Raw genomic sequence first — 27,850 nt, 5'->3', positions numbered from 1 at the left:
AAAGCTGGCCGAAGGTCTAAAAAGTAACAAATACTAATTGTTCTAAGCTGCTTTACGGTGAATTTCCTTTCATGGTTTAAGGGCTTCAATTCTTATATCCACATCATTTTGATTTATATTTATTGAAACAGGCAATGACTTTGCGTCTGTGTATGGCTGTGTTAACACAGGTGTAAATTGAAAGTCCACAGATGTAGTTTGGGCCCTTAATAAATAGGCTCGGTGATTATGACATTTGTTCCTTTCTCCACATTCACCTCTCAAATCCAGCAGACATACTTAAAGGGGGAATAAATCTCAGCTCACAAACTCAACTGTTTAAGGGAAAAAAAAATCAAACCAAAACAAACCTTCATTTTCAATAAATCAGCTGTTAATCTGAATGAGCAAGTTGTAGGGAAAACCTTAATCTCCGTGACTCCTAGGGTTTCCCAGGAACCTTCAAAGAATTGCCAGTGTCCCACCACCTGAAAGGATGGCAAGGTCCCAGTGTATGCAAGGGCATGAGGTCACTACTGCTCCAAGGCTAAGCCCACTGCTGGTGGTGGGGTCACTTCAGGGCCAGGGTGCTCTCTAGGACCAAGAGGCTGACCAAAGTTAGTTGCCTGGACCGTTGTGTGTAAACTGCTGAACTCACAGGCTTGTTATTTTGTGCTGATGCTCTGTTTAACATTCAGAGTGCTATTGCTTGTTTGCTTTCATTTAGATCAGTTTTTAAGCTTTAAAAATAGAAAATAGCGTATAAAAGGAGCTTTTTTGACCAAAGAAGATATACAGATGGCAAATACACATATGAAAAATGTTCTATATCATATGTCATAAAGGGAAATGCAAATTAAAATAAGATACCACTACACACCCATTAGAATGGCCAAAATCTGGAACACTGACAACACCAAATGCTGATGAGGCTGTACAGTAGAAGGAATGCTCATTCATTGCCAGTGGGAATGCAAAATGGTACAGCCACTTTGGAAGACAGTTTGGCAGTGTCTTGAAAACCAAACATGCTCTTACCATATGATACAGCAATTGCACTTCTTGGTATTTACTCAACGGAGTTAAAAACACAAAACCCTGATATATAATTAGATGTACACATATATATGCACATCATAGCAGCTTTATTCACAATTGCCAAAACTTGGAAACAACCAGGATATTTCATCAGTAGATGAATGAATAAATAAACTGTGATAAACTATGCTACATCCAGACAAGGGAATATTATTTAGCATTAAATGAGCTAGCAAATGATGAAAAGACATGAAGGAAACTTAAATGCATATTACTCAGTGAAAGGTCAGTCTACAAAGGCTACATGCTTTATGATTCCAACTATATGACTTTCTGGAAAAGGCAAAACTACGGAGATGAGTAGTTACCTGGGGTTGGGGGGAAGGAGAGATGAATAGGCAGGGCACAGAGGATGTTTTGGGTAGGGAAAATTTTCTGTGTAATAGCATAATGATGGATGCATGCCATCATACATTTGTCCAAACCCAGAGAAGGTAAACACCACGTGTGAGCCCCAATGGAAACTATGTACTTTGAATGAAAATGATGTGTCAATGCAGATTTATCTACTGTAGCAAATGAACCATTTGGGTGCCGGATGTTGATATTGGAAGAGACTGTGCATGGGTGGGGAGATATGGTAGAACTCTGTACCTTCTTCTCAATTTTTCTATGAACATAAAACTTCTCTTAAAAATTAAGTCTACTGGGCGTAGTGGCACCTGTCTGTAGTCCCAGCTACTTGGGAGGCTGAGACAGGAAGATTGCTTGAGCCCAGGAGTTCCAGGCTGTAGTGAGCTATCATTATGCCTGTGCATAGCCACTGCACTCCAGCCTGGGCAACAATGTGAGACTCCATCTCTAAAAAAAAAAATAAATAAAGGTTACCCCTGGCACATTGCCTATGGTGTAGCCGTGCTCCACAGGAGCAATCAAAAACAAAAATAATGAAAGTCTTTTTAAAAATGACTTTCTGATGTATTTTTACACAAGCACAAAGTTTTGGCAAACTCGTGTTAATATTCCTTCATTACCCATTGGTTGGCACGGATTATGCTTTGCCTGTGTAAATTACAGCACGGAGTTGATGCCTCTTTAAGGCAAGGGGCTCTGCCCTATGGGTTTAGTGCTAGTCATTGGCTGTAGGTTTCACTGCGGGATCCTGTGGCTCCTGGGTGAGGCAGCTCTTACTCAGCCAAGGGAAGTTCTACGCAGAAGGGGGCAGCCATGAGCCATCAGAAACCAACGGGCACAGAAACTGGGCCATTGGGGTACCTGCTTGGTAGAGGGACTGTGGTTGGGGCACCACCCAGAGTACAGCAGCTACTATAATATATAAGATCTATTATTTAGCTAAAAAGAATAGAGAAGTTATTTTCAAGAAAAAATTTAATTTGAAAGTTTTGTGTGTAGTATATTGGCCATTTAAATTTTGTTTCACTGCATTTAAGATAAACTCTATATTGTGTTTTCAGTTCCTAGAGCCATACAGATACTTGAAACCACAACTGATTTGATTTGAAGTGTGATATATACAAATACATATATACGTATATGTGAATATGTGTGTCTAGAGACAGAAACCAAATTCTTGAATATAACAGGTGTTTTCTAATATTTAGCACCAGCACAACTGAGGCCACCTCTGGTTAAAGGAATCAACAGCACAACAATCCATCTTAGGTGGTTTCCACCTGAAGAACTGAATGGACCCTCTCCTATATATCAGCTGGAAAGGAGAGAGTCATCTCTACCAGCTCTGATGACCACGATGATGAAAGGAATCCGTTTCATAGGAAATGGGTATTGTAAATTTCCCAGCTCCACTCACCCAGTCAATACAGACTTCACTGGTAAGTGTGTTTGACATTGCTTTATTTAGGAGACACGAAGCTCCAAAATGTTTTCTATATTTTCATATCCCTTTACAATGAATTTTTATTATACCTACTTAGAGAAATACTAATTCAGCCCTTTGATAGCTTTTGCCTGATTGTTTCAGCATGTCCATCTTTTTAGAATTCTGGGGAAAAAAGTCAGGTAAGTGAAGGAAAGGAAAAATAAAAGATGAAGATGAAGAAGCAGCCTTATTGGATCAAAGTATGTGCTTTGTATTTGTCTTTTTGTGAAGTATGTGCCAGGACATGTTTCTTGAAATATTATTCACTGTGTTCTCTGAGCAAATGAGTTTGCAAAATGCCCTCATGCTATTGGAGATTCTCAGTATGCACCCCGTTACTGAAACTCCAAAAAGCATTGTAAGAAAGCTATTCAACTTTGCTTAGCTAATCATGCCTAACAGATATTTGATGTAATGTTTTCTTTTTCTTTCTCTTGCTGTTTCCTTCTTCTTTTTTTCACTGTGACAACTTAATATCTCATGTTCTATGAAGAACATTGTGGGGAAAACTAATCCCAGGGAAAAGATAACTTCTCTAAGCCAGGACTATGGTAAAGCAAGTGAGGCTCTTGTTTCGGTCACAAAATTTAAAGGCACTAAAAAACTCAGTGTTAATGTAAATTTTAATGCAATATTTTTAAAAATGAAAATCAATGTGAAAGCACTATAAAAATATTATCAAAAGCTTAAATAAAGACAGATTGAACTCTGTACCAGCACAATCCTGCCTCACTGGCCTTACCCTCCTCCTGGCCTTACTAGTACCGCAATATTTTGGAAGTCCCATGACCTCTGTGACTTACAGCTTCTAATAGCATGATTTCAATATAGCTGTAAAAAAACTCTACTTATGGTACACCATTTTTCCAATTTTTAAAAAAATTTACAAAGTATAAGATATATATTATTATGTAAACTCATAAAGATGTTCATTTAATCATCCATGAGAAAGTCATTTTGGAGCAAATAGCTAGTCTTTAAAATATTGCATATGTGAAGACAATGAAATGGAATTCGAGCTATAAAAATTTGTATTGTTTTATTTTTACTTAAAATAGTAAATAGTTTGCTTTTCATTGAGACTGGCTGCTGATGCACCTTGGTAATGAATCATGATTATATTCTAACTGAGATATATTGAGATTAATGCATGATTAACTACTCTCTCAGTACATCAAAATCATTGCAGAGTATTAGAAATTGAACCATTGAGCTAAAAATGCTCAACTTCTGCTTTATATTCTTAAAATGGCAAAAAAGAAAAGAAAAAAAAGGTAAGGAAAAGGAATACATGAATAATAGTAAAACTCTTTTCTCAAATGAAAATGGAAACTACCTCCCTGATCCAATATTTGGCTTGAGATGTGTTTCTTCCAAGAAATAGCATCCGTTTCCATTCAGCTGGGCATAGCTGCTGCAAGGATGTCAGCTTGGATTTGCAGGCTAGCCAGCAGACAGATTTTTGATGGGATCACCTACTGTTGTTGCAGTGAAAGATAGAATGGCCCGTCCACCGTTAATAAATTTGGTCATCCTCGCTATCTCCCTTGCTGGCCTTATACTCTGAGGTGCAAGGGCTAGGGGCAGATGCAGTGTCTGGGAAGTTTTCCAAATTCCTCTTTAAAAAAGTTAGGCTGTAAACACTGGCCTCACTAAGCAGGATCCTTCTGTCTATAACAAAGCCTCCAGCTGCACAGAAAATATGCTTGGAGTACACACCATTTGAAGGACAAGGCAGGGAGATCACAATTTTGGCTTGAACTACTCCCTGGAGCTTTGGTGATTCCTGGAGAATGAGAAGTTCTTCTGTGTTCAGGCATGTTCTGGGACATTGCTGATGCCCTTTTTAGTGGTAGCTTGGCTTTACTTTTAAGACCCCTTTAACTTTTAATATAACCATGTATATACTAAGTTATTGGTTTGATCCTTTGGCTGACTTGCCAGGTTTGGCTGAATGATTTTATTGAGTTGTACCGAAGCCTAACTAAATGTACCCAATTAATGAGCTAGGACAGGTTTTCAAAACCAACTCAATAACTTTCTGTAAACTTGCATCTTTCCTAAATAGAGAGGTAAGCATATAATTAGCATCTTACATTATTCTTACTGATATATTATCCTATTTAATCCCTCTGCAACCCTATAAAGTAGCTCTTTTTACCCTCGTAGTACAGGAGGAAAAGAGGCTCCAGTGAGTGACTTGCCCATTGTGCCACAGCTATTGAATTTCAGGGTGGAAACGTGAATTGGAGCCTTCCAAATTTAAAGGCAAGGTCTCTGCTACAGGGTGGAAAGGAACTTTTGTAGACTGTTCTTTGGAAGTGATAGAATAGGAAGTATACAAAAGTAAGAAAGAGGGATAGGAGGTGAAATAATTATCACCCAAATATTCCTTATCTGACACTGCTAAACTTTTTGGATTTGTCTTTCAGTTAGTTTCAGCTCACAAACAGCAAGTAGTGTTGGCATTATTTATTCATTTATTTGTATCCCCAAAGACATGTAGGCATCAGGTTTTTTTTTAATAGCAATTAAACCCAGAGTGTTACTAGAAGCTAGATGTTTAAAATATAAATAACATTATGTGAAATGGGCTGAAGTGTTATGCGTTAAAACAGTGCTTTCAACTCACATTCCTTTATATTTCATTCAGTTTTTATATTCTGAGGCAAATTTAATGAGCAAATCCTTGAAACCTCTAATATGATGAATTACATTTTAAAAGTTAATAACTTTAAGATAAACTAAGATGTCCTTTGTTTTGAATTATTCAATTCAAAATCTCAAACTTCAACTAAAATGACTTCTGAATAGAAATATCAATTAGTACTCAAATACAAATATAAGGTTGATGTACATAATTATACATATTTTATATATGAAAAGATAAGTTAGATTGTACCCATCAATGACAGGAATTATAAACGCATTCATAACACATTTCATGGCCATGAACATTATGTTGCAAGTCTCAGTAAGAAATATCTCATTATTGTAGTACAAGAAAGGGATCTCTTACACAACTTATGCCTCTTTCATATTTGCTTTAAATATTTTTATCTTACACAATAGAAAGAGAATAATTCAAGCATATGAATATATGTCCTAAAATGTTGTTTAATATTGTAAATTACCAAGCTTAATACTGTAAATAAACCCTGTCAATATCTACCTTTGGGCAGAATAAAGAACCAGATAAAGCTATTTTGGGACCTATTTTTGCTTCCTTTTCTTTTCTGATACAAGTGTTCTTTTAAAAAATCTAATCTTCAGGAAGAATGTATTATCAGTCATTTACATCATAGTTTAAATTTAAAATAATTAACTCTCTGTATATTATTATGAGGACTTCGAAGAAGATTAACTGATAAATTACTTTCAAATCCAGGCCCCATTATTTATTAGCTAAATGTAATTAGACAACTCATTTAATCATTTTTTGTGCTTCTGTTTCCTTTTCTTTAAAATTAACATAATTCCACTGACAGTATTGGTATCTAGCAGGTAGGTGAGGATTTAAAGTAGATAGCCCACCTAATGAACTTTGCACAGTGCCTACCACACAGATTATTTAGTACTCATTAAACATTAGCTATTAGTTATTATTCATTTAATAAATATTTATTAAGTGCCTACTATGAGACAGGAGCTTTCCTAAGTGAGAGTATTCTGCAGTTATAAAATCAGCATTCTATTAATTTATTTGCTGTTACACATGCAAAATATGTTTGCTCAAATGTTATATCTAGGGCATGAGTAATATGCAATATTCCATATTAAAATGTGATACTTAATTTTGCTATTGAAAATAGTAAAATTAATTGACTTAGTGGTGAGGACTTGGGCAAACTACTTTTCTGAGTGTCTAATCTTGCTCATCTATTAAATTGAGGATTTTGTTGCATGATCAATGTTCTAACCTCTAAAATTCCAATTCTGTGAACATAGAATGTTTAGGAGGCCCCACAATCCAAAATACAGGCTGTAATCATGGCATCTGTGAGTTAAAAAAACACCTAGAGTTTAAAATAAATTGTTTTCTATAATATTTTGTTTATTAATACAATTTAAGATTGATACAAATTTACTGCTTTTCTCTAATAATTTAAGAAATTTAGTGATATGGGCAGAGTTCAACATAAAATAGATATTCAATTATTGGGTCATATCAGATGTTATAAAAAAAGCAGAAAATTAAAATAGTTTCGTGATCTTGTAATTGGGCAATGATATAAACAATCATGGTGAAACAGTGCCCCAGTTACATGGGGTTAAAAATACTTTCTTCTTCCAACACAGAAATAGCAAATAGAGCCTCCCCTCCCATATGCAACTAGAAGGGGATATCATTGTGCCTTTGGAGAGAAAAAAAAATCATGCTCGTTTTTTTCAGGAATGCAGAGTAAATCTACTTGATTTATACAAAGAATTTAGTTCTTTCCTTGTAATGCTAGTAATCCAAGTGGAACCTGGTAAAAACAGCAAGTAAAATACTGCTCAGATTGGCATTCCAAAGGTGACCCTCTTTCTCCTTGTCACTTATTTTTTCCTATTAGCGAAAACAGGTCCATGATCATTTGGGGGAAGGTTTGACTATTGTAGTATCCAGATGCCAATCACACCAGCCTTTTAAACTGCCTTTACTGGTGACCCTGCCCAGAAATCAGGAACTGCCTTTGGGGAGATCTTTGTAGCAAACCACTGGGGAGATGAGCACACACATGCACCTGGATATAATTCCCTTTTATTTGTCTTCACGAGAAATGTGATTACTGATGTTGAATATCTTGCAGATGAGAACTCTATACAGTTTCTTCATAATAATGATGTTCAAGGACACTAAATGATTGTCATACATTTTTGTATCATAGTATTCACCTTCCCAAAAATGGTTGAACTAAAATGCTTTAGAATACGAAATGCAATTAATTACCAAGGGATGAAAAAAGAAATGCAACCACCAAAAATCAATATGTTTAAGAGCATATTCTTTATTTCTTTTACTCCATAATATTTATGCCTTATTGTTATTAGTCTTCTTATTTTTAGTGAATTGGGACATTTAAGCACTTCATTAAAAGAAAGCTGATTATAAGCATTTATAGTGAAGGTGCAAGTAGGGCAAACTTCTTCAGATAGACTAATTAGTAAAAGCATATTAATTCTGACCTTCAACACCCTTGGTGTCCCACTATTTGTTTTCCTTGGAGTGGGAGCAAGTATTTTGACAGAAAGCGCTTGAAAAAAATAAAAAACAAAACAACTAAACAAAACCCCAGTTCTTTTCAAGACAGATTTAAATCACAAATTTTACCTAACCTTTGATGTTAGATTTCAGCCCTAGTTATTGAAAAACAAATATAATAATCTACTATGTGTCCTAGAAGTTTAATGAACAGGCAGTAATTATACTAAAAAAGTAAAGGAAAGAGTAAGAACATGGTATGTGGCAGCAAAGTAAAGGAGAAATAATTCTCAGGCAGTGACAAAACTCTGCTGTGTTTTCTGATTATGAAACAATCAGAAGAGATGAGAATGGTTGAGTTAATCAGTTTGGACTGAGGACAAGGATCAAAATGCATATCTTCTTAGAATAACAGAAGTCACACTGACTCATGATAACTAGAGATATGGAGATGTAAATGTCAAGACTGTTTATTTTTTATTATATTTAGTAGAGAGGTATAAGTAAGTTCTCAGGAAATGCCTTCAGGTGGCATTGATGGCACTGCGAGATGGGAGAGGACCATTATTTCCCCATTCATCAACTACATCATAAGACCAATTTAAGAATGCATGTGTTTTAACCCTTGCCTTTTAAAAGTGACTTATTTTGAAGTACATTCCTGTAAGTCTCCCTTTTTTTTGAAATATTAATGTTAGGTAACTGGTAAGCTGAGCCAACACTGAAAACAAACTGTTTTTGTTAGCTGTTAGCAGTATTTTAGTTAACTTAAAGCATCTGTTTTTGTCCATCACTGTTAAAATTTTTCAAAATGCATTGTCACCTGATATATAAACCACACGTGTGTTCCTATATACTCATCCCACATGCATAAACATATGTTTTCCAGAAGGTCTCTGGGTTTTCCGCAACCACTCAATGGGTTCTCCTTGCCCACTGCCTAGACAGAGCCAGTTTATCAAGACAGGGGAATTGCAATAGAGAAAGAGTTTAATTCACATAGAGCCTGCTGTATGGGAAACTTGAGTTTTATTATTACTGAAATCAGTCTCTTGGAGAGTTTGGGGATCAGAGTTTTTAAGAGTAATTTGGCTGGTAAGGGGTTGGGAAGTGGGAGTGCTGATTGGTTGGGTCGGACATGAAATCCTAGGGAGTCAAAGCTGTCCTCTTGTGGTGAGTCAGTTCCTGGGTGAGGACCACAAGATCAGATGAGCCAGTTTATCAATCTGGGTGGTGATAGCTATTTCATGAGTTAAGGGACTGCAAAATATCTCAAACACTGATCTTAAATTTTCCAACAGTGATGTTATCCCCAGGAGCAATTTGGGGAGGTTCGGAATCTTGCAGCTGGAGGCTGCACGGCTTCTAAACCATCATTCCTTATCTTGTAGCAAATTTGTTAGTCATACAAAGGCAGACAGGTCCCCAGGCAAGAAGGGGGTCTATTTAGGGAAAAGGCTGTTACCATCTTTGTTTCAAAACTAAATTGTAAACTAAATTTTTTCCCAAGGTTAGGTCAACCTTTGCCCAGCAGTGAACAAGGACATATTAGAGTTTATAAGTAAGATAGAGTTATTTAGGCCAGGTCTCTTTCACTGTCATAATTTTCTTAGTTATAATTTTTGCAAAGTCATTTTCATTTCTATATAGTCTCAAATATACCTGCTCAAATTGTCCAGTGTCTTTTCTGCCAGTATGTTGGCATTTTGGAATCTTTTCAAAGACTTCATTGCTTAAAAAAAATGCTGTTGCTTAATGATATTTTGTATCAATATAACACATTAATTTTAATTTCCCCTTCATTCAGCTTAAATGGGTTGGAAAAGGAACTTTGAGCAGAAAAAGAATCATAATTGGTCAGCAATGGTAGTGAAACTAGCACCTTTGAAGATGATTGATTTTTGATTTAGTAAGATGAATTATTTTGTGTATGTTTTCTTGAAAAAAATTAGTTAAAACATTTAAAAATGTATAGTTATAGTTATTTTATACCAGTTACAGCACTCTTGAAGTGTATAGATTAAGTTCCTTTCTATTCAGATAGAGAGGAATCTGGGAACATCATTGTCAAAATGCCATCTCTTTCAAAACTTGGTTCCAGTGCTCTAAAGAAATGTTTTAGAAGATTATGCACTAATGTTACTGGCGGCAAATTCATATAGATCTGTAGCCACCTCAATTTTTGCATTCTCAGAAGAAAGAATTTGATTGAGGGGACATAAGGCATATTAAGAGACCAAGACAAATTTTAGAGCAAGAGTGAAAATTTATTTAAAAATTTTAGAGCAGGAATGAAAGGAAATAAAGTATACTTGGAAGAGGGCCAAGTGGGTGACTTGAGAGATGATTTGACCTTTACTTGGGGTTTTATATAATGGCATGCTTCCGAGGTCTTGCGTCCCTTCTCCCCTGATTCTTCCCTTGGGGTGGGCTGTCCACGTGTACAGTAGTCTGCCAGCAATTGGGAGAAGTTGAATGTCCAGTGTGTTTACTGAAGTTATAGGCATGCTCACTTAAGGCATGTTTCCTTGCCAGTTAAGTGTTCCCAGAAGGTCATATACCGGTTAAGCGCCAACATTTTGCCTCTTAGTGCGCATGCTTGAGCCCACTCACCCATCTCCTGAGATCTCATTGGGAAGCTGCTGATCACCCGTCTCAGGTGTTTCTATCTATAGGGAGACTGCCTTTCCCTGGCACTGGCTGTGACTGATTCTTATTATTTTAGAGAGATAGTGTAACAATTATCACCTGACGGTTGCCTGACATTTCTGGTGGGGCGTTGTGGGGGGCGGTGCTTCTCTGACCCTGCCCATAGTCTAACTGCCAACTGTAACACTAACAGTTTCATTGAAGTGGGGGAAATGTTAAGTAATAATATGAAAACCATATTTAAGGTATATATATATAAGGAGGCTCACAAACATAGCCATAGGCCGTTTGTTTGGAGCTTTGAAAAGGGAGGCTCAGTTCCTTGACTGATGAGCAGTTTCCATTTGGAAATTCTTTGACTTTAGTGCAACTTCAAAATAAAGGCATGAGACAGAAGGAGAGAGGAAGAAACCCTCAAGCCATCTAAAGTCATCTCTGGCAATGGTGGCCATATCATTTTCACAAAAAAGGGGCATCCTTGGGGAATATCATAAAGGAAGAATAAGGACTTAAGGGAAATGTGTGGGAATGATTGACTGATCCTCCCTCCAGCAGAAAATTAAAAATCAATGTAGATGCATTTTTCTCAGCTTCTTCCCTTCATTTTTTTCCTCTCCTGAAACCTGTTCCTCCTTCCGTGTGTACCATCTACAGTGAATATCACTATTGCCTTAGGCGGAAACCTTGGAACTCTCCTTGAATTGGCACTTGAACTATTCACTCATTTCCTCCCATTCTATTAATGATTCCTCCTCTGGCCGTTCTTCCTCGGATACATCTCTTGGAACTACCTGCTGGTCCTACGCTACTGCCTAGTCCAGACCTATGTTGTGGGCTTCTCTGCCAACAGTTTCAATCTTCTCCAGGCTGTTCTTCAAACGAATTATTTTTATTGGCATTCTCTTGTGTAAAACCTTTTAATGGTTTCCCAGCGAGAGATGCCCTTCACAAACCCTTTTCTGCTTACCTGCTTTCTACCTATATACCTCCTCATCTCTCCCACCAAGGACTGGTATACTCTCTAGCTCTAGACCATTTTTTAGTCCCAGTGCTTGAATATAGCACACTCTCTCAGATGCCCATCTCTTTGAACATATTGATACCTTTGCCGGGTATGCCCTCATCTATTTGCAAGTACTTCGCTTTCCTTTCACCTGGCTAATTGCTACTCATCATGAAAGGGTTAGCTTAGCTGTTCCCCTAAATAAACTTCCAGCAACCCCAGCCTCCTCCCATGCCAAATCTGGGTTGAGGACCTCTCTTATGTACTACTATAGAAACCAACAATTACTCTATTTTAGCTCTTACCGCATTCTATTAAGACAGGTTGTTCAGGGAGCTAAGCTATGAGGACGCAAAGGCATAACGATGATACAATGGACTTTGGGGACTCAGGGGAAAGTGTGGGATGGGGTGAGGGATAAAAAAAACTACACATTGGGTACAGTGTACACTGTTCAGGTGATGTGTGTACCAAAATCTCAGAAATCAACACTAAAGAACGTATTCATATAACCAAATACTGCCTGTTCCCAAAAACACCTGTTGAAAAAAAAAAAAAACTGGTTGTTTGCTTATCTATGTTTCATGTAGACTGAAATTATGACTATCTTTTTCATGCTTAACACATTTGTGTCTTGCACGGCATAAGACATTTACCAGATACTCAATAAATATTTATTAACTAAATGAGTGATAGAAAAGAGGGAAATCCAAAAGATGGATCACTTAGCTGTAAGAATTATTTAATGGCAAAATTCATTATGCTTTTGAATATAGTTCACATTTTTAAATCCACGTTTTTGAAAGTATTGATGGTTTAGAGTGATAACTCAATTTGTTTAGTCTCTATTGGCCTTAGATGTGTAAGAAAATACATTTTAAACTGTATAGTACCAGAGACAAAAAGAAATTTCTTGTTAATGGTCCTCAGTTGCTGGCAAAGTTACTTGTACACCAGTTGTTATAGCTAGAGTGTTATATCAGAAATTGTTTTCTGCCCCACCATAGCTATCACATTGTGTTGCTGAAAACTAGGTGGTTGCACATCTCTTAGATACATGATCTCCTTAGGCTTATTAAATTTTGAGGTTAATGAATATTTTGACACTTTTACCTATACATATCATTAGGGCTTATTGCAATAGGTTTAAGATGACAGTCATAATAAACATATACAGTACAATAAAAAGCACTTTTAATCTTGAAAGTGCTTTAAAAACAACAGTGATCAATGCTATGGATGGATTAACAGCATCATGCTGATTGAATTCTATTTCAAGGACAATGGAGGTATTGATGTTGGCAGTCTAGTTCAGAAAGTGGCAATGGCTGTAGTAAATGGTGCAGGTTCTGGAGTCAGACTCCCCAGGTTTCAAATCTGGCTCCCCAACATGCTGGTGTGCGACTTTGCACAAGTCATTCCCCCAGTGTGAAACTCAGTTTCTTCATCTGTTAAATGGCTTATTGTAAGGTTTCAATGCAATCACTGTAAAGGATTAGTACACAGTGTCTTAGTATTGTGTATGCATTTGTGACCAGCATTCTGTAATTCTGGACTTCAATTATGTGCCTTTCCATTGCATACATATATTTTATGTCCCTAAGTCACATAAATCTTGTTGATACTTCTTTATGACCTCTCTCTACTACACGGTACTCTGATCATTCACTTTATTTTACTCATTCTGTGAACCTCTGACCTGTTTTTTGTTGTCATTGTTACCTTTCTTCTTCCACTAGAAGCATACATGTTCTGCATCTCATTTCTCCACATCTATTTAAACAGCCAACTTTAAATGTTATGTGTACTTATAAACCTAACTCTATTATTCCCCCTGTCTTCATAATCAGTCTTCTCGAAAACTAAGACTCTCTATGTGTCATTTTCTCATGGATCAATTACTCCTCAATCTACTGTCATTTGGATTCTTTTCTTCCACTTCTTTATTGTAAATACTTTCTTCTAGATTATCAATAGTTTTCAAGTCAGAGAACTTTCCTTAATCCTCACCCTATGTGCCAATAAATAATATTGGTGCCATTTTTTCCTTTTAAAAAATAAGAAGAAACTAAATATTTCTCACTAGGTTTCTCCTTCTATTTTCCCTAAACTGTGTTTCAAGCTTTGATATTGCTTTCTACATCCACCTTTAAATGGAAGAGTTCAATCACTCATTCGGTTCGTATGCAGTTTTTCCTTATTTCACTCCACTAGCTGATGTTATGATTGCTGTCGTAAAAAGGATACTGAGCAACACAAGAATGATTCCTAACCTTAGGGAGCTTAAAGTCTTGCAGTGAAATCATGCATCAAACATGTAATTAAGTAATTACAAGTGACTTCTGTCTCCAGCTATGAAGCATATCAAAAAATCCTCCTGCTGAGAAAAGAAATAGAAGCTGGAAAAAATTTCTCAAAAATATGGTTAAAGACATAAGTGAGTAACAAAGGCTTCTAGGACTTGTGGGATCAAGATCCTAGATATAAGAAAAACCATGTAGGTGAGCCTTTTAAATTATCTTTGTTTTTCCTTCTGTTTTGTTTGTTAATTCCTCTATTGCATAGTCTTAGGGAAAAAAAAAAGACAGGCAAAAAATTAGAGTCTAGGTGGGGTCCTGGTATACATGCCAGGTTTTCAATTGAAATCCTAGAAGAGCAAATCATTAATAGGCTCTTCTTCCTCAGATAAAGCCTCAATTATTCTTAACTACTAATTATACTGAGATAAAAGTTATTTTTTTACCAAAAATATTTAGATATTTGCTGAAAGATCACATCAACCAGAGTCCCAGAGTGTGCAATTTTTTCCTATACAATGTCGGGCATTCAATCAAATATTAACAGGCATACCAGAAAATAGGGCCAAATAACCAAAAGATAAGATAAATAAAATAAAAAATAGAAACATATCCTCAAGTAATTCAGATATATGGAAATATGTATTTGCATACACACATAGGCATATACACACATATACATGTAGATATATATGCATATATCCAGACACAGACTTTAAAATAACTATAATTAATATTATCAATAAAATCAATGAAAATGTTCAGAATTTAAGTAGCAAATGGGAATATATTAGAATAGGAATTTTAGAGCGGAGTAACAGCTGAAGTTAGCAACTCAGTAGATAAAATACCAATTCCATCCCTGATAAAGTAAATAGCCTTGTTCTTAATATCGTATGCAACAATGTAAGTTGGGAACAAAATATATATGAAACACCTATTTGTAGCCAATATATAGCAACAGTGCAGAGCTATTATGCTTAAGTGAAGAAAAGCAAATGAACTGAGTTGCACACACCTGGAATTATTGAGCTCAAGCAGAGACATTAGTATATCTGGTAAAGGAATAAAAACTGGAATTCAGGGCTACAAAAGTAGATTTGGAGGGTAGGTTCCCAGAGAGAAGATTGATGCTGAAAAATAATTCAAAAATTCTGTGTAACAATTCTTTTTTGGGTGCTTGGCCAACATTTAGAATAATCCTATGAGAAACATAGTAGAGAAGATCTGCTTGGTAGTTGGAGCTAAGTAGAGATTTCACAGGCAACATAGAGCTAAGGATGCACACATGGAGTTTGGACTTAACCACAGTAGAGAAACCTTGGTGAATACTCTGAGCTTTCACTCGACTCTCCAAAAGTCCGTCCTTTATGAGTAAATTCCCATGCTTTAGGAATAAGGGCTATTCTTTAGGAACATTGAGATAATTGAAACAGATTCACCCTAGTGAAGCCTAAAGCCAAGGCTGAGTAAGGTCGAGGTAATCTGGTAATTTTACTTCCCGTCAAAACAGAATTTTGTATTCATTAGTAAAAGGTAAAATAATCCAGAGGTTTTACTATGCGTCATCCATGAAGTGACCAATAATGAAATGTTAATAGTCGATAGAGGCAGACAAAGACTTCAAAATAACTTCAGTTAATGTTAAGAGAAAATAAAGGACAAGGTGGACAGAAAGGATGATAAGATAAAAAATATTTCAATGCAAAATTGAAATCTGTACAGTAATTAATAGGAAAAAATGGTATGTAAAGTAAAATACCTGAAATGAAGAGAATATTGATAAGTTTTGCCAATGAAACATTGCAGAAGGCAAGATTAGAGAACTCAACGGTCAATTGTAATTGTCCAAACTGAAGCATATCGAGAAGGAAATGAAAACATGAAAAAAAGAACAATGAGGTATTTGAGGACCCAGAAGGAAAGAGTGAAAGAATGAGACAATAGTAATATTGTAGAATAGCCAAATATTATCAAATATGAAAAATAAGTTCACACATAGTTTAACAAAGTTTAGCAAACCATAAGGAGGGCAAATATAAGGAAAGCCATATCCAGGTATATTACAGTCAAATTGCTTAAAATAAAAGACAAAGAAAAACCTTCAAAAGCACCTGGGGAGGGTGGGGAGACTTATTACCTTCAGTGGAGCAAAAATAAGAATGATGTCTGAGTTTTCAACAACAACAATAAATGAATGCCAGAATATAATGGAATGATACTTTTTAAATGCTAAAATTATTTTTTTAACAATAATAACAACAAAAGAAAACTACCAGTCAAGATTTCTGTACCCAGGAAACATATCCATCAAAAATGATAAAATAAAATATTTTTCTTAACAAAAGAGTTGAAAAAAGTTATCATCAAAAGACTGGCATTATAAAAATCATAAAGTGTATTAGGACATAGGAAAAGATCCCAAAAGGAAGCACAGAGCTGCAGGAAAGAGTGCAAACCTCTAGAAATGGTAACTAGGTGTGTAAATAAAAAGTAATATTTATGATAAAAGGCATAAAAATCATACTTTGAAGTTGATAACATGTAAGAAAAAATGTATGACATCAATTATTTTGTCACAAATGATGACGGGGTCTATATGGAGCTAAACTGTGGTAAAATTCCTAAAAAGTTATGGAAGTTGAAGAATTAATAATATGAAGTAGGCCATAGTAGATCAAGGATTCAGATTATGATGCCAAAGGTAACAACCAAAAGAATGATTTAGAAAATTAATGTAAGGAAACACTAAATGTTAAATAAACACAGGTTAAGCTGATAAAGGAGTTTGAGGGTGGCAAGAAGAAGCCAGAAACAAAGAGCAAATGTGGGGAATAAAAGGACAAATACCACTGTGGTGAACATAAACTCAACTATATCAGTAGTTGCATTAAATCTAAATAGTCTACCCAAATAAGCATAAAAGTTCTCAGATTGATTTAAAAAATAAAAATATATGTTGTTTATTCTTATAAACATACTTTAAATATAAAGACAAAATTCGAAAACAAAGAAAGAGATAAGATGTATTGATATATAGATAGATTTTAAGACAATAAATGTTAGTAGACAAAATGGAGGACATTTCATAATGACAAAAAGATCAATTCAATAGAGGGACATATAATCCTAAATTTAGGTGCTACTTATAGTTTCAGATATGTATATAAAACTGAAGTTGACAGAAATAAACAGAGAATAAATATATCCTCATAGTTGAAGATATAAATCCCCATCTAATATTTTGACAGGAAAAGTACACAAAATATTAGTATAACTATCAAAGATTTGAAAATGAATAAACAATTACATCTGTATATAAAACATGTGACATTTTATAAGTGTTGTCATATGTAGAACATCACTTCCAACAACTATATAATATGCATTTTTGAGGAACACATAGGACATTTTCCAAATAGTTAATATCCTGGGCTATAGAAATCGCATAATTTTTTTTTTTAAGAGACGAGGTCTTACTGTGTTGCTCAGGCTGGTCTTGAACCCCTGGGCTCAAGCAGTCTTCCCACTTCAGTCTCCCAAAGTGTTAGGATTACAGATGTGATGAGCCACTGCATTCAGCTTGATCTCATAATATTTCAAGTTCTCTGACAACTGTGAGATTAAACTAGAACTCCAAATCTAAAACATAATCCGATTGGAAAATATCCCTGGCTCAAAAAGAAATTATGGAAATTAAAAATTATTTTTATCTAATGATAATAATGCCTTAATACATATAAAAACATTGTAGGATGGACAATATCAGGAATCTGATATTGCTTTATAGCTTTAAATGCATATATTAGAAAAAGGGAATAGTTAACAATCAATTAGCTTCCCACTCAAGAAGAAACCAGGAAATTAAAGCAGCATATGACACCCAAAAAATATTTGAATAAAAGAAATTATAAAAATAAGAGAAATCAATGATATAGCAAACAGAAATGTAATGGAGAAAATAAGACCAAGAATTGATTCTAGAAAATTTGGGGAAAAATTTCTTTGCAAGTGATCAAGGAAAGGAGAAAGTACAGATTACTACTCTCAGGGATGCAAAGAGCCATTACTAGAAATCTTACAGACATTAAAAAAAATAATAATGTATTAAGAACAGCACTACGCTAAAACCTTGACAATACAGGCAAAATACAGAGATCCTTTGCATGGGAGAAAAATCTCCAAATTTAAACTGACACAAGAAGATCTAGAAAATCTATGTGGTCCTAGATGTGTTTTAAAAATGAAATCTATAGTTAAGTCTTTTACATAAAGAAAACCCCAGGGAAGGTGGCCCGATTGGTGGATTTCATCAAACAATTACAGTAGAAATAATAGCAATCCTACAAAAAAACTCTTACAGAAAATAGAAAATTGCAATGGTTTCTATCTCATTTTATGAGGTCAGAAGAACTTATACACTAAAATCTGACAAAGAAATTAACATAAAGGAAAACACAGGTCAATAATAATCACAAAAGTAGATTCTAATATTCTCTGTGTGTGTGTGTGTGTGTGTGTGTGTGTGTGTGTACATAAATAAAATGTTATATCATGACCATGCAGGTTTTATTCCAGTAGTGTGTAATCTTTTCAAAATGTATGTGATTCAACACATTAACATAGTAAAAATGAAACATTCTAAATTATCACCACAGATTTAACAAATGCATTTAATAAAATATAATAACTATTCATAACAATTCTCAGCAAACTAGTAATGAAAGAACACATCCTAATAAATTGTTTTTGTAAAAGACCTCTAATAGTAAAATATCAAGTGCTTTTTCCCAGAGGTCAGGTACAGGACAAGGAAATTCACTATCACCACTTTTATTTAATGTTGTACTGGAAGTATAGTACTAGCCAGAGCAATATAGCAATAAAATAAATAAGTATTAGGTATGTCAAAGAAGAAGTAAACCATCTTTATTTGTAGATGTCATTATTTTTATTGATGTCAAAATAATATATAAACTATTCAGTTTACTCAGTAAACTTAGAAAAGTGTCGAATAAAGGTCAATGTACAGAAATCAAATGTTTCTATTGAATAGCAAAAAACAAGTAGAAAATGAAATGTTTAAAAGTACCATGCTTACTAGAACTAACACACATAAATGACTTAGAAACAAGTCTGCTAAAAGGTAATGTAGGACCTCCACTCTGAAAACTACAAAAAATTACTGTGAGAAATTAAAGACCAAATAAATGGAAAGTTACGCCATGTTCATGGATCTAAACACTTAATATTGTTAAATAGCAAGTCTTCCTAGTTTGATCTGTAGAATCCATATAGTCCCTCTCAAAATCCCAGGATTTCTGTAAAAATTTACAAGCTAATTTTAATATGCACATGAGAGAGGAAAGTACTTAGAGTAGCCAAGGCAATACTAAAAAAGGGCAAAGTAGGAAGGCTTATGTATCAAGACTAACTATAAGACTGCAGTAGGTAAGCATGTATAGTATAGGCAAAAGAACAGATAAGTATAGTAATAACATATTGCCACATAAATACCCCAAATAAATACATATATATGCAGGGCACAGTGGCTCACACCTGTAATTCCAGCACTTTGAGAGGCCAAGGCAAGAGTATTGCTTGTGCTCAGGAGTTCAAGACTAGCCTGGGTGACATAGTGAGACCTCATCTCTACAAAAAGCTGAAAAATTAGCTGGGCATGGTGAGGCACCTGTAGTCCCAGTTACTCAGGAGGCTGAGGTAAGAGAATCTCTTGAACCCAAGAGTTCAAGGCTGCGGTGAGCCTTGATTGCACCACTGCACTCCAGCCTGGGTGACAGAGCAAGATCCTGTCTCTAAAAAATAATAATAATACATACATACATATGTGCTCTAAAAAGCACATGCAAAGTTGTTCATAGCAACTTTATTTCTAATAATCAAAAACTGGTAACAATCCAAATTTCTATCAACAGTAGAATGGATAATAAATTATAATAAATTTATTCAGTGGACTGCATATAGAAATAAAAATGAGCCAACTATTGCTTCAGAGAACAATGTGGGTGAATCTTATAACCTGTTAGTGAGTAAAAGAAGCTAGAATCTAAAGAGTCTAGTATTCTATTTATATAAATTTCTTCTTTTTCATTTTAACATTTATTTTAGGTATAATGGGTACAACATGCGGGTTTGTTACTTGGCTATATTGCATGACGCTAACGTTTGGGCTATGGGTTCCATTACGCAAGTAGTGAGCGTGGTATCCAATAGGTAGTTTTTCCAATTACAGTCCCCTCCCTCCCTTCCAGTGTCTGTTGTTCTCATGTTTATGTCCATGTGTGCTCAATGTTTAGCTCTCACATATAAATGAATATGTAGTATTTGGTTATTGTTCCAGCATTAATTCACTTAGAATTATGAACTCCAACTGCATCCATGTTGCTGTAAAGGAAATGATTTTGTTCTTTTTTGTGATTGGGTAGTATTCCATGGTGTATATGTACCACATTTTCTTTATCCAGTCCATCATTGATGGGCACCTAGATTGATTCTGTGTCTTTGCTATTGTGATTAGTGTAGCAATGAACATATGAGTGCATGCGTCTTTTTGGTAGAATGATTTATTTTTCTTTGGGTATAACAGGATTGCTGTGTCAAATGGTAGCTCTGTTTTAAGTTCTTTGAGAAATCTCCAGACTGCTTTCCACAGTGGCTGAACTAATTTACATTTCCACCAATCGTGCATAAGCATTCTCTCTTTTCCACAGCCTTACCAGCATCTGCTGTTTTTTGACTTTTTAATAATAAACATTCTGACTAGTGTGAGATGGTATCTCATTGTTGTTTTGATTTCCATTTCTCTGACAATTATTGATGCTGCACATTTTTTCATGTTTGTTGGTTGCTTGTATGTCATCTTCTGTGAAGTGTATGTTTGGCTGGGCGCGGTGGCTCACACCTGTAATCCAGCACTTTGGGAGGCCGAGGTGGGTGGATCACGAGGTCAAGAGATCGAGACCATCCTGGTCAACATGGTGAAACCCTGTCTCTACTAAAAATACAAAAATTAGCTGGGCATGGTGGTGTGTGCCTGTAATCCCAGCTACTCAGGAGGCTGAGGCAGGAGAATCACTTGAACCCAGGAGGCAGGGGTTGCAGTGAGCCAAGATGGCACCACTGCACTCCAGCCTGGCAACAGAGCAAAACTCCGTCTCAAAAAAAAAAAAAAGAGATAGAAGTATGTGTTCATGTTCTTTCCCATTTTTTAAATGGAGTTGTTTTTCTTTTGTTGATTTGTTTAAGTTCCTTATAGGTTCTGCATATTAGAACTTTGTCAGATGCATAATTTGTATATTCTGTAGGCTGTCTGTTTACTCTGTGGATAGTTTCTTTTGGTGTGTGTGCAGAGACACTTTAGTTTAATTAGGTCTCAGTTGTCCATTTCTAAAGCTGCAAAGTGAAATCAGTGGTGACAGAAATCAGTAGATGGGGTAATAACTGAAAGGAAGCAAAAAGAAGCCCTCTGAGATTCTGGAATTATTTTATAAATTAGTCTGAGAGGAGTTTATAAGTGTAGATTTATTTTGTAAATGTCCATCAAAATATACCTTGATAATTAGTGCACTTTATTTTTGTTATACTTTACTTTGAAAAGTTACTGAATAAATGTTTCAAGCCTGCAAAGTCCAAAAATAAGATGTGAAAAAATACTGTAACATAACAGAAGCACTCAACCCAGTCTAGAGGATTAGTGAAGACCTCTCCGAGGATGAGGCAAGTTGAGTTAGCTAGGCCAAAAAAAAAAAAAAAAAGAAAAAAAAAAGAAAGAAAGAAAGAAAAAGAAAGAAGGAAAGTAAAGGAGTCCAGGTAGAGAAAGTATCATGTATCAATGTCTTAATGTGGGAGATGACATGTACATAAATAAACAAATTAGTAAGCAAGAAAAACTTGGAAATTCTAATATAAATTAGATTCTTGCCAGAAGGGTGCATGGTGAGGCTGAAATAAAAAAGGGGCCAGATCATGCAAGGGCCATCACATTGAAAATTTTGAACGTAATTTTATTCATCTTTATAAGACCACTGTGGAGGTTACAGCCTGATACCAAGAATGTTTTTAAGAAGGGCATGCTGATATTTTCACTGATATTGTACATGTACCATTCATAGATTGACTCACTAAAAGTTGCAATTTTATTTAATCATCTAATAAGATTATTTATAGAATGTCTGCAAAATGTTAGAAGATCTTCCTTATAAGAATTAGCATAGCTGAATGGTTTAAAAAAAAATGAAATTCTGAATCCCAGCATGGATCTATTGCATTCTTGCAATTGTCCAAGGCAAAAGGTTCTGCTTGCCTGCTTCATAAACAAAATCAATTAACCGAGACTGCAGCATTGCAGTAAAAAGTTTAATTTAAGCCAAGCCAGCCAAGTGGAAGAACTGGAGTTATCACTCAAATCAGTCTCTCTGAAGTCTTGAAGGTTAGGATTTTTATGGATAATTTAGTGGGCAGAGGGGCTAGGGAATGGGTGCTGCTGATAAGTTGAAGATGAAATCATAAGAGCATGGAAAATGGTCCTCCTGTATTAAGTCTGTCTCTGGGTGGGGCAACAGGATGGGTTGAGTCATGAGTCATTAGTCCAGGTGGGATCAGTTTGAAAAACATCTCAAAAAAGCAATCTTGGGTTTTACAATAGTGATGTTATCTATAGGAGCAATTGGGGAAGTCACCAATCTTGTGACCTCTGACCACATTATTCCTGAACAGTAAGCAATTATAAAAATTACACCTACATTTTAGCAGCATTCAGGCCCCTCCCGTAATCCTATTCTTGTGGCCTTTCATTAGTCTTATGAAGGTGGTTTTTAGTCTCTGAGAAGGGAGGAGGTTAGTTTTAGGGAGGGATGATCATCTATGATCATCTTTGCTTTCAAGTTAAACTATGAACTAAATTTCTCCCAGTGTCCAGGAATGGCCAAAGACAGCTTGAAGGTTAGAAGCAAGATGGAGTCAACTATGTCAGATTTCTCTTACTGTCGTAATTTTGTAAAATCAGTTTCATCCTAATCTCTGGAGAAGTACCTAGAAATTTGCATTTGGATAAGATATACAGATCTACACTATTAAAGACAGAGCTATCTTACCCACCCCCACCCCAGCTATTTGTCTAAGGGAAATGAAACAATTTGTACATACAAAAGGCTGGCACACACATACGCATTGCGCCTACATTCACAAGAGCCAGAAACTGGAAACAACTCAAATATCCATCAGTAGGTGAATTGATTAATAAAATGTGGTATATGTATGTGATGAAATACTAGTAAGCAATACAAAGGAAAGAGCAGAAGAACACTTAATCGTAATTCCACTTATATAAAATTCTTAATAATAATTAATGTATAGTGACAAAAAGGAGATCAGCAGTTGCCTAGGCCTGAGGAGGAGGGGGTGATGGAAATGCTGTGTAACAATCAAGGTAGTGGTTTTACAAGTGTGTACATCTGTCAAAACATATCGAACTGAACCATTTAAACAGATGTGCTTCAGTATATATGTAAATTTTTATCTCACTAAAATTAATAAAATATTCTCCAAGTGATTCTTGCAACATTCAAGTATGGGAACCATTGATTTACACTGTAATGAACAAGTTGCTTTAACTTTGTTTGGAAACCAAACAATTTTAATATTATTTTACCATTTAAATTCTGAGCTCTTTCAGATAGAAACTTAAGCAGTGTGTATACTGCTTATCACTCCAAATTTCACCTGAAACAAATTGGTATATACTGTTTGTCATAAAAATAAGAAAATGACTTTCATTAAATTATGCTGACAATGAGAATCTTGTACAATTTCAATGAAATAACTTTTTTTAATGAAATAGGGTTTCTTTTGATCTCATTCACATTCAGAAGGGAATTTTTGTAAATAGAAAGGACTATATTTTATTTTATCCTAAGAAGGAATTTAGTCAGTAAAAATATGAAATAGACACTTGAGTATACAGTTGACCAGTTATTGCCTTGAAGCTACTGCACCTCTGTAATGTATTTTTCATAGCTTATATAATCCGTGTTAATATGCTACATTATTAAGTTCAACTGTGAGAAATATAGTTGCTTGAAAACAGATTTCTTCTGCATACTTATAAATTCAGTAGTTGGAAAAAAATTAAAGAAATATAATTAAAGATTGCAAAATCAATTTGACCCTCACTTAAAATGTGTTGAGTGGAGGCAGCAAGCAGCAGCCTACATCTGATGCTGTTCTCTCCTTGTTTACTTCACAAAACTGTGCAAATTAGAACTTTAATTTACAGAGCTGTTAAAGCCTCATTAAAAACTTTCAGCAAGTATCCTATTTTGAGGGTTTTTTTCCCCTTATATCTAATATGCAGCATTATCTCTGTTTTGTGGGCATGTATGAGGCAATATCTATAGGCATATTAATGTAAACTGCATATATGAAATGAAAGTTTTTCACATGGAAAGGACACTAGTGGTGTCTGTCAATTGCTTCCCAAAGTGATTAATTTCTCCATTTACTTGGTGTTTATTGGCATCTACTAACACTGGATCTCTGTTGGATCATAGGAATATAATTGGGCTCCAGTGAAATGGGAGAATTCCCTGACACCCTGTTGCAGGATATGTGACAGAGGTGTGGCTTGTCTGCTTGACCGCCTTGCACTCAAACTCCTTGCAGGAGAGGGAGCATGCAGATGGGCAGGTGTGGGAGCCAGGGCAAGAACTTTTGGGCTCCAGTCCCATGGTAGTATCTAGGGGTGGGTGCTTGTGACTCCCAAAGCCCCAGTGGGTGTGTTACAATGCCCTTTTAGCTGTGCCATCCACATATGGCTTAAGTGTTAACCAGCTCAGTGCTTTCTTGGTACCTGGGTTCTTGTCCGGTGTCCAAGAAGAATCAGGTTACATGGATAAACTGAAGGATGGTAAATGTGGGGGATTTTATTGCTGGATGGAGGTGGCTCTCAGTGGAATGGATGGGAAACTGGAAAGGGGATGGAGTGGGAAGATGATCTTCCCCTGGAGTTTGGGCATCCGGCGGCCAATCTCCTCTCTGACTAACCCCAGCCGAAATCCTCTCAATGTTCAGATGCTCCTTTTCTTCTCTTCTTCTATGTGGCACTGCTCTGCTATTCTCCTGTTCCTCTGCTCTTCTGCTCATGGAGCCTGGGGTTTGGGGTTTATATGGGTATAGGATAGTGGGGCATGGTGGGCCAAAAGGCAACACTTGGGTGTGAAAACAGAAGTGCCTTTTTTTATTTAGGGCTGTGGGTTTCCAGGCTTCAGGGTGGGGCCTTTGCCAGGGAACTGCCCTCTTCTACCCAGCATTTCCCTGCCTCCTGTCTTTATCACCAGTAGACTTGTTCCCTGCTCTTACAGGATTTCATGCGTGTCCGTGTGAAGAGACCACCAAACAGGCTTTGTGTGAGCAATAAAGCTGTTTATTTCACCTGGGTGCAGGCGGGCTGAGTCTGAAAAGAGAGTCAGTGAAGGGAGATAAGGGTGGGGCCGTTTTATAGGATTTGGGTAGGTAAAGGAAAATTACAGTCAAAGGGGGTTTGTTCTCTGGCGGGTGGGAGTGGGGGTCGCAAGGTGCTCAGTGGGCAGGAGTGGGGGTCGCAAGGTGCTCAGTGGGGGTGATTTTTGAGCCAGGATGAGCCAGGAAAAGGACTTTCACAAGGTAATGTCATAAGTTAAGGCAAGGACCGGCCATTTACATTTCTTTTGTGGTGGAATGTCATCAGTTAAGGTGGGGCAGGACATATTCACTTCTTTTGTGATTCTTTAGTTACTTCAGGCCATCTGGGCGTATACGTGCAGGTCACAGGGGATGCGATGGCTTGGCTTGGGCTCAGAGGCCTGACATTCCTGCCTTCTTAATAAGAAAAATAAAACAAAATAGTATTGAAGTGTTGGGGCGGCGAAAATTTTTGGGGGGTGGTATGGAGAGAGAATGGACGATGTTTCTCAGGGCTGCTTCAAGTGCGATTAGGGGCGGCGTGGGAACCTAGAGTGGGAGAGATTAAGCTGAAGGGAGGTCTTGTGGTAAGGTGTGATATTGTGGGGATGTTAGAAGAAACATTTGTCGTATAGAATGATTGGTGATGGCCTGGATATGGTTTTGGATGAATTGAGAAACTAAATGGAAGATACAAGGTCCGAATAAAAGAAGGAAAAAAATGGGTATTAAAGGACTAAGAATTGGGAGGACCCAGGACATCCAATTAGAGAGTGCCCAAGGGGGTTCAGCGTAATTACTTGCTTGGTTGGCAAGTTTTTGGGCTCTATCCTTGAGTTTTTTTATGTTGTCATACACCAGGCCAGATTGATTTAGGTAAAAACAACACTCCTCATTTAAGAATATGCAGAGTCCTCCTTTTTCAGCATTGAGTAAGTCAAGGCCTCGGCGGTTTTGGAGGACAACTGCAGCTAAAGAGTCAACTTGGGCCTGGAGGACTGATAAAGTTTGTGATATGTGTGTGATGCTAGCAGAGAAGTCATTAGACAGGCTACAGAAGGTCATGACAGACGTTGAAATGCCTGCTATTCCAGTACCGAGAGCAATCATGGAGGCAGAAAGTCCTAAACCGACCATCAAGGGAATTAGTGGAATAACTCTTTTTTGTCATGTCGGTGTCATGAGGGGAACAGGGAGCTCTTCGGTCCCATTTGCAAATTGAATTTTGGGGGTAAGGAAGACTAGTGTACATGTGGCTGTCCAATTGGCAGGTAGACACATGTAGGTAGAGGATCCACAGAGGAAGAAGAGACCTTGTGCGAGGCAAAACTGGAGATGTAAAGTAAAAAGGTGAGAAGGAGTGCTGAAAGGGGTGTCTTGTACCCAGACTCCTAGGGATCCACCTAGGGCGGCAGCTGTCAGAGGTTGTAATGGGGACTGATGGGGTAACTGCGTAGAGGGGGAGGTTCGATTTTCATGGTGTATGAGAAAACGTTGAGTATCTACGAGCAACCTTTCACTGTTATTTTCGGGGCTGGGTATAAGTAAACAAGAAGAGGGCCTGGGAGGAGAGTCTGATGAGCAAGGGGAAGGTAGCCAAGGATGGAGTGAAATACAGGGCACGTGTCTTCCTAAGCAATAATTACTGCTAATGTTTTTAAGTTTGTCAGTATTGATAGAGGGCTTGTCTGTAATATGGAGCTGGAAGGCTCCAATTGTTTCAGTGATGTGTGTAGTTGGACTTCGGAGATGAAGAGTAAAGGAACATCGAGAAGGTGAAAGGTTACCCAGGGGAATTCCAGTGGGTCTTTGCCGAGAGATACATAAAGGAGCAGCCACAGGAATAGTAGTTTGTGTTGTGAGAGGTCCAAATATGGGGGGAGTAGAGTTAATATAAGGAGAAAGGTTTTTTAAATAAGTGCGAAGGAGGGCGGCAGCTTGCTGATGTGAAATGTCTGGGGAAGTCTTGCTGAACCTGTCTAGAAAGTAAATGAGTTCTTCAGGAGGGTAAAGGTGAGGGCTGTTAAAGGAAGTTCGGAGGTGTAGGGAGACGGGAGATGTTGCCCAGTCTGTCTGTAAGACGGGGACAGCTGTGTAGGCACTGGAAGAAAGGGAAATGCAAAGCCAGCAGTTGTTCGCTAAGGAGGGATTAGAAGCAGCTAGGAGAGAATGGGTTAAGGTTGACAGTGTGGTGGAGATAGCTGGGGAGAGGTAGAGGGTGACATAAGAATGGGAATGAGAATAAGAGTGAGTATAAAAGTAAAGAATAGAACTTCATCAGGGTGGAAGTATTGGAGGGTGCCTTGCCAGCAAAGATCATCTATCCACTTTAAGAGGGAGTT

At 36.7% G+C, this 27,850-nt stretch overlaps 1 protein-coding gene across 2 annotated transcripts in view; it reads left to right on the top strand.

The window, feature by feature from the left end:
- USH2A (usherin) overlaps positions 1–27,850 on the top strand; it is an 800,558-nt gene that overhangs the window by 245,327 nt on the left and 527,381 nt on the right. Inside the window, exon 21 of one of the 2 annotated variants that reach the window (NM_206933.4) lies at positions 2,640–2,870. In NM_206933.4, the coding sequence (NP_996816.3) occupies positions 2,640–2,870 (231 nt within the window). Of the gene's footprint in view, positions 1–2,639; positions 4,177–27,850 lie in introns of those variants that run through there. The other variant, NM_007123.6, reaches the window with a different exon arrangement.

Source organism: Homo sapiens, chromosome 1 (genome assembly GCF_000001405.40).
Source record: "Homo sapiens chromosome 1, GRCh38.p14 Primary Assembly".
Classification (NCBI taxonomy): domain Eukaryota; kingdom Metazoa; phylum Chordata; class Mammalia; order Primates; family Hominidae; genus Homo; species Homo sapiens.
The sequence above is the reverse complement of the archived record's forward strand: the minus strand, read 5'-3'. Positions and strand labels throughout refer to the sequence as shown.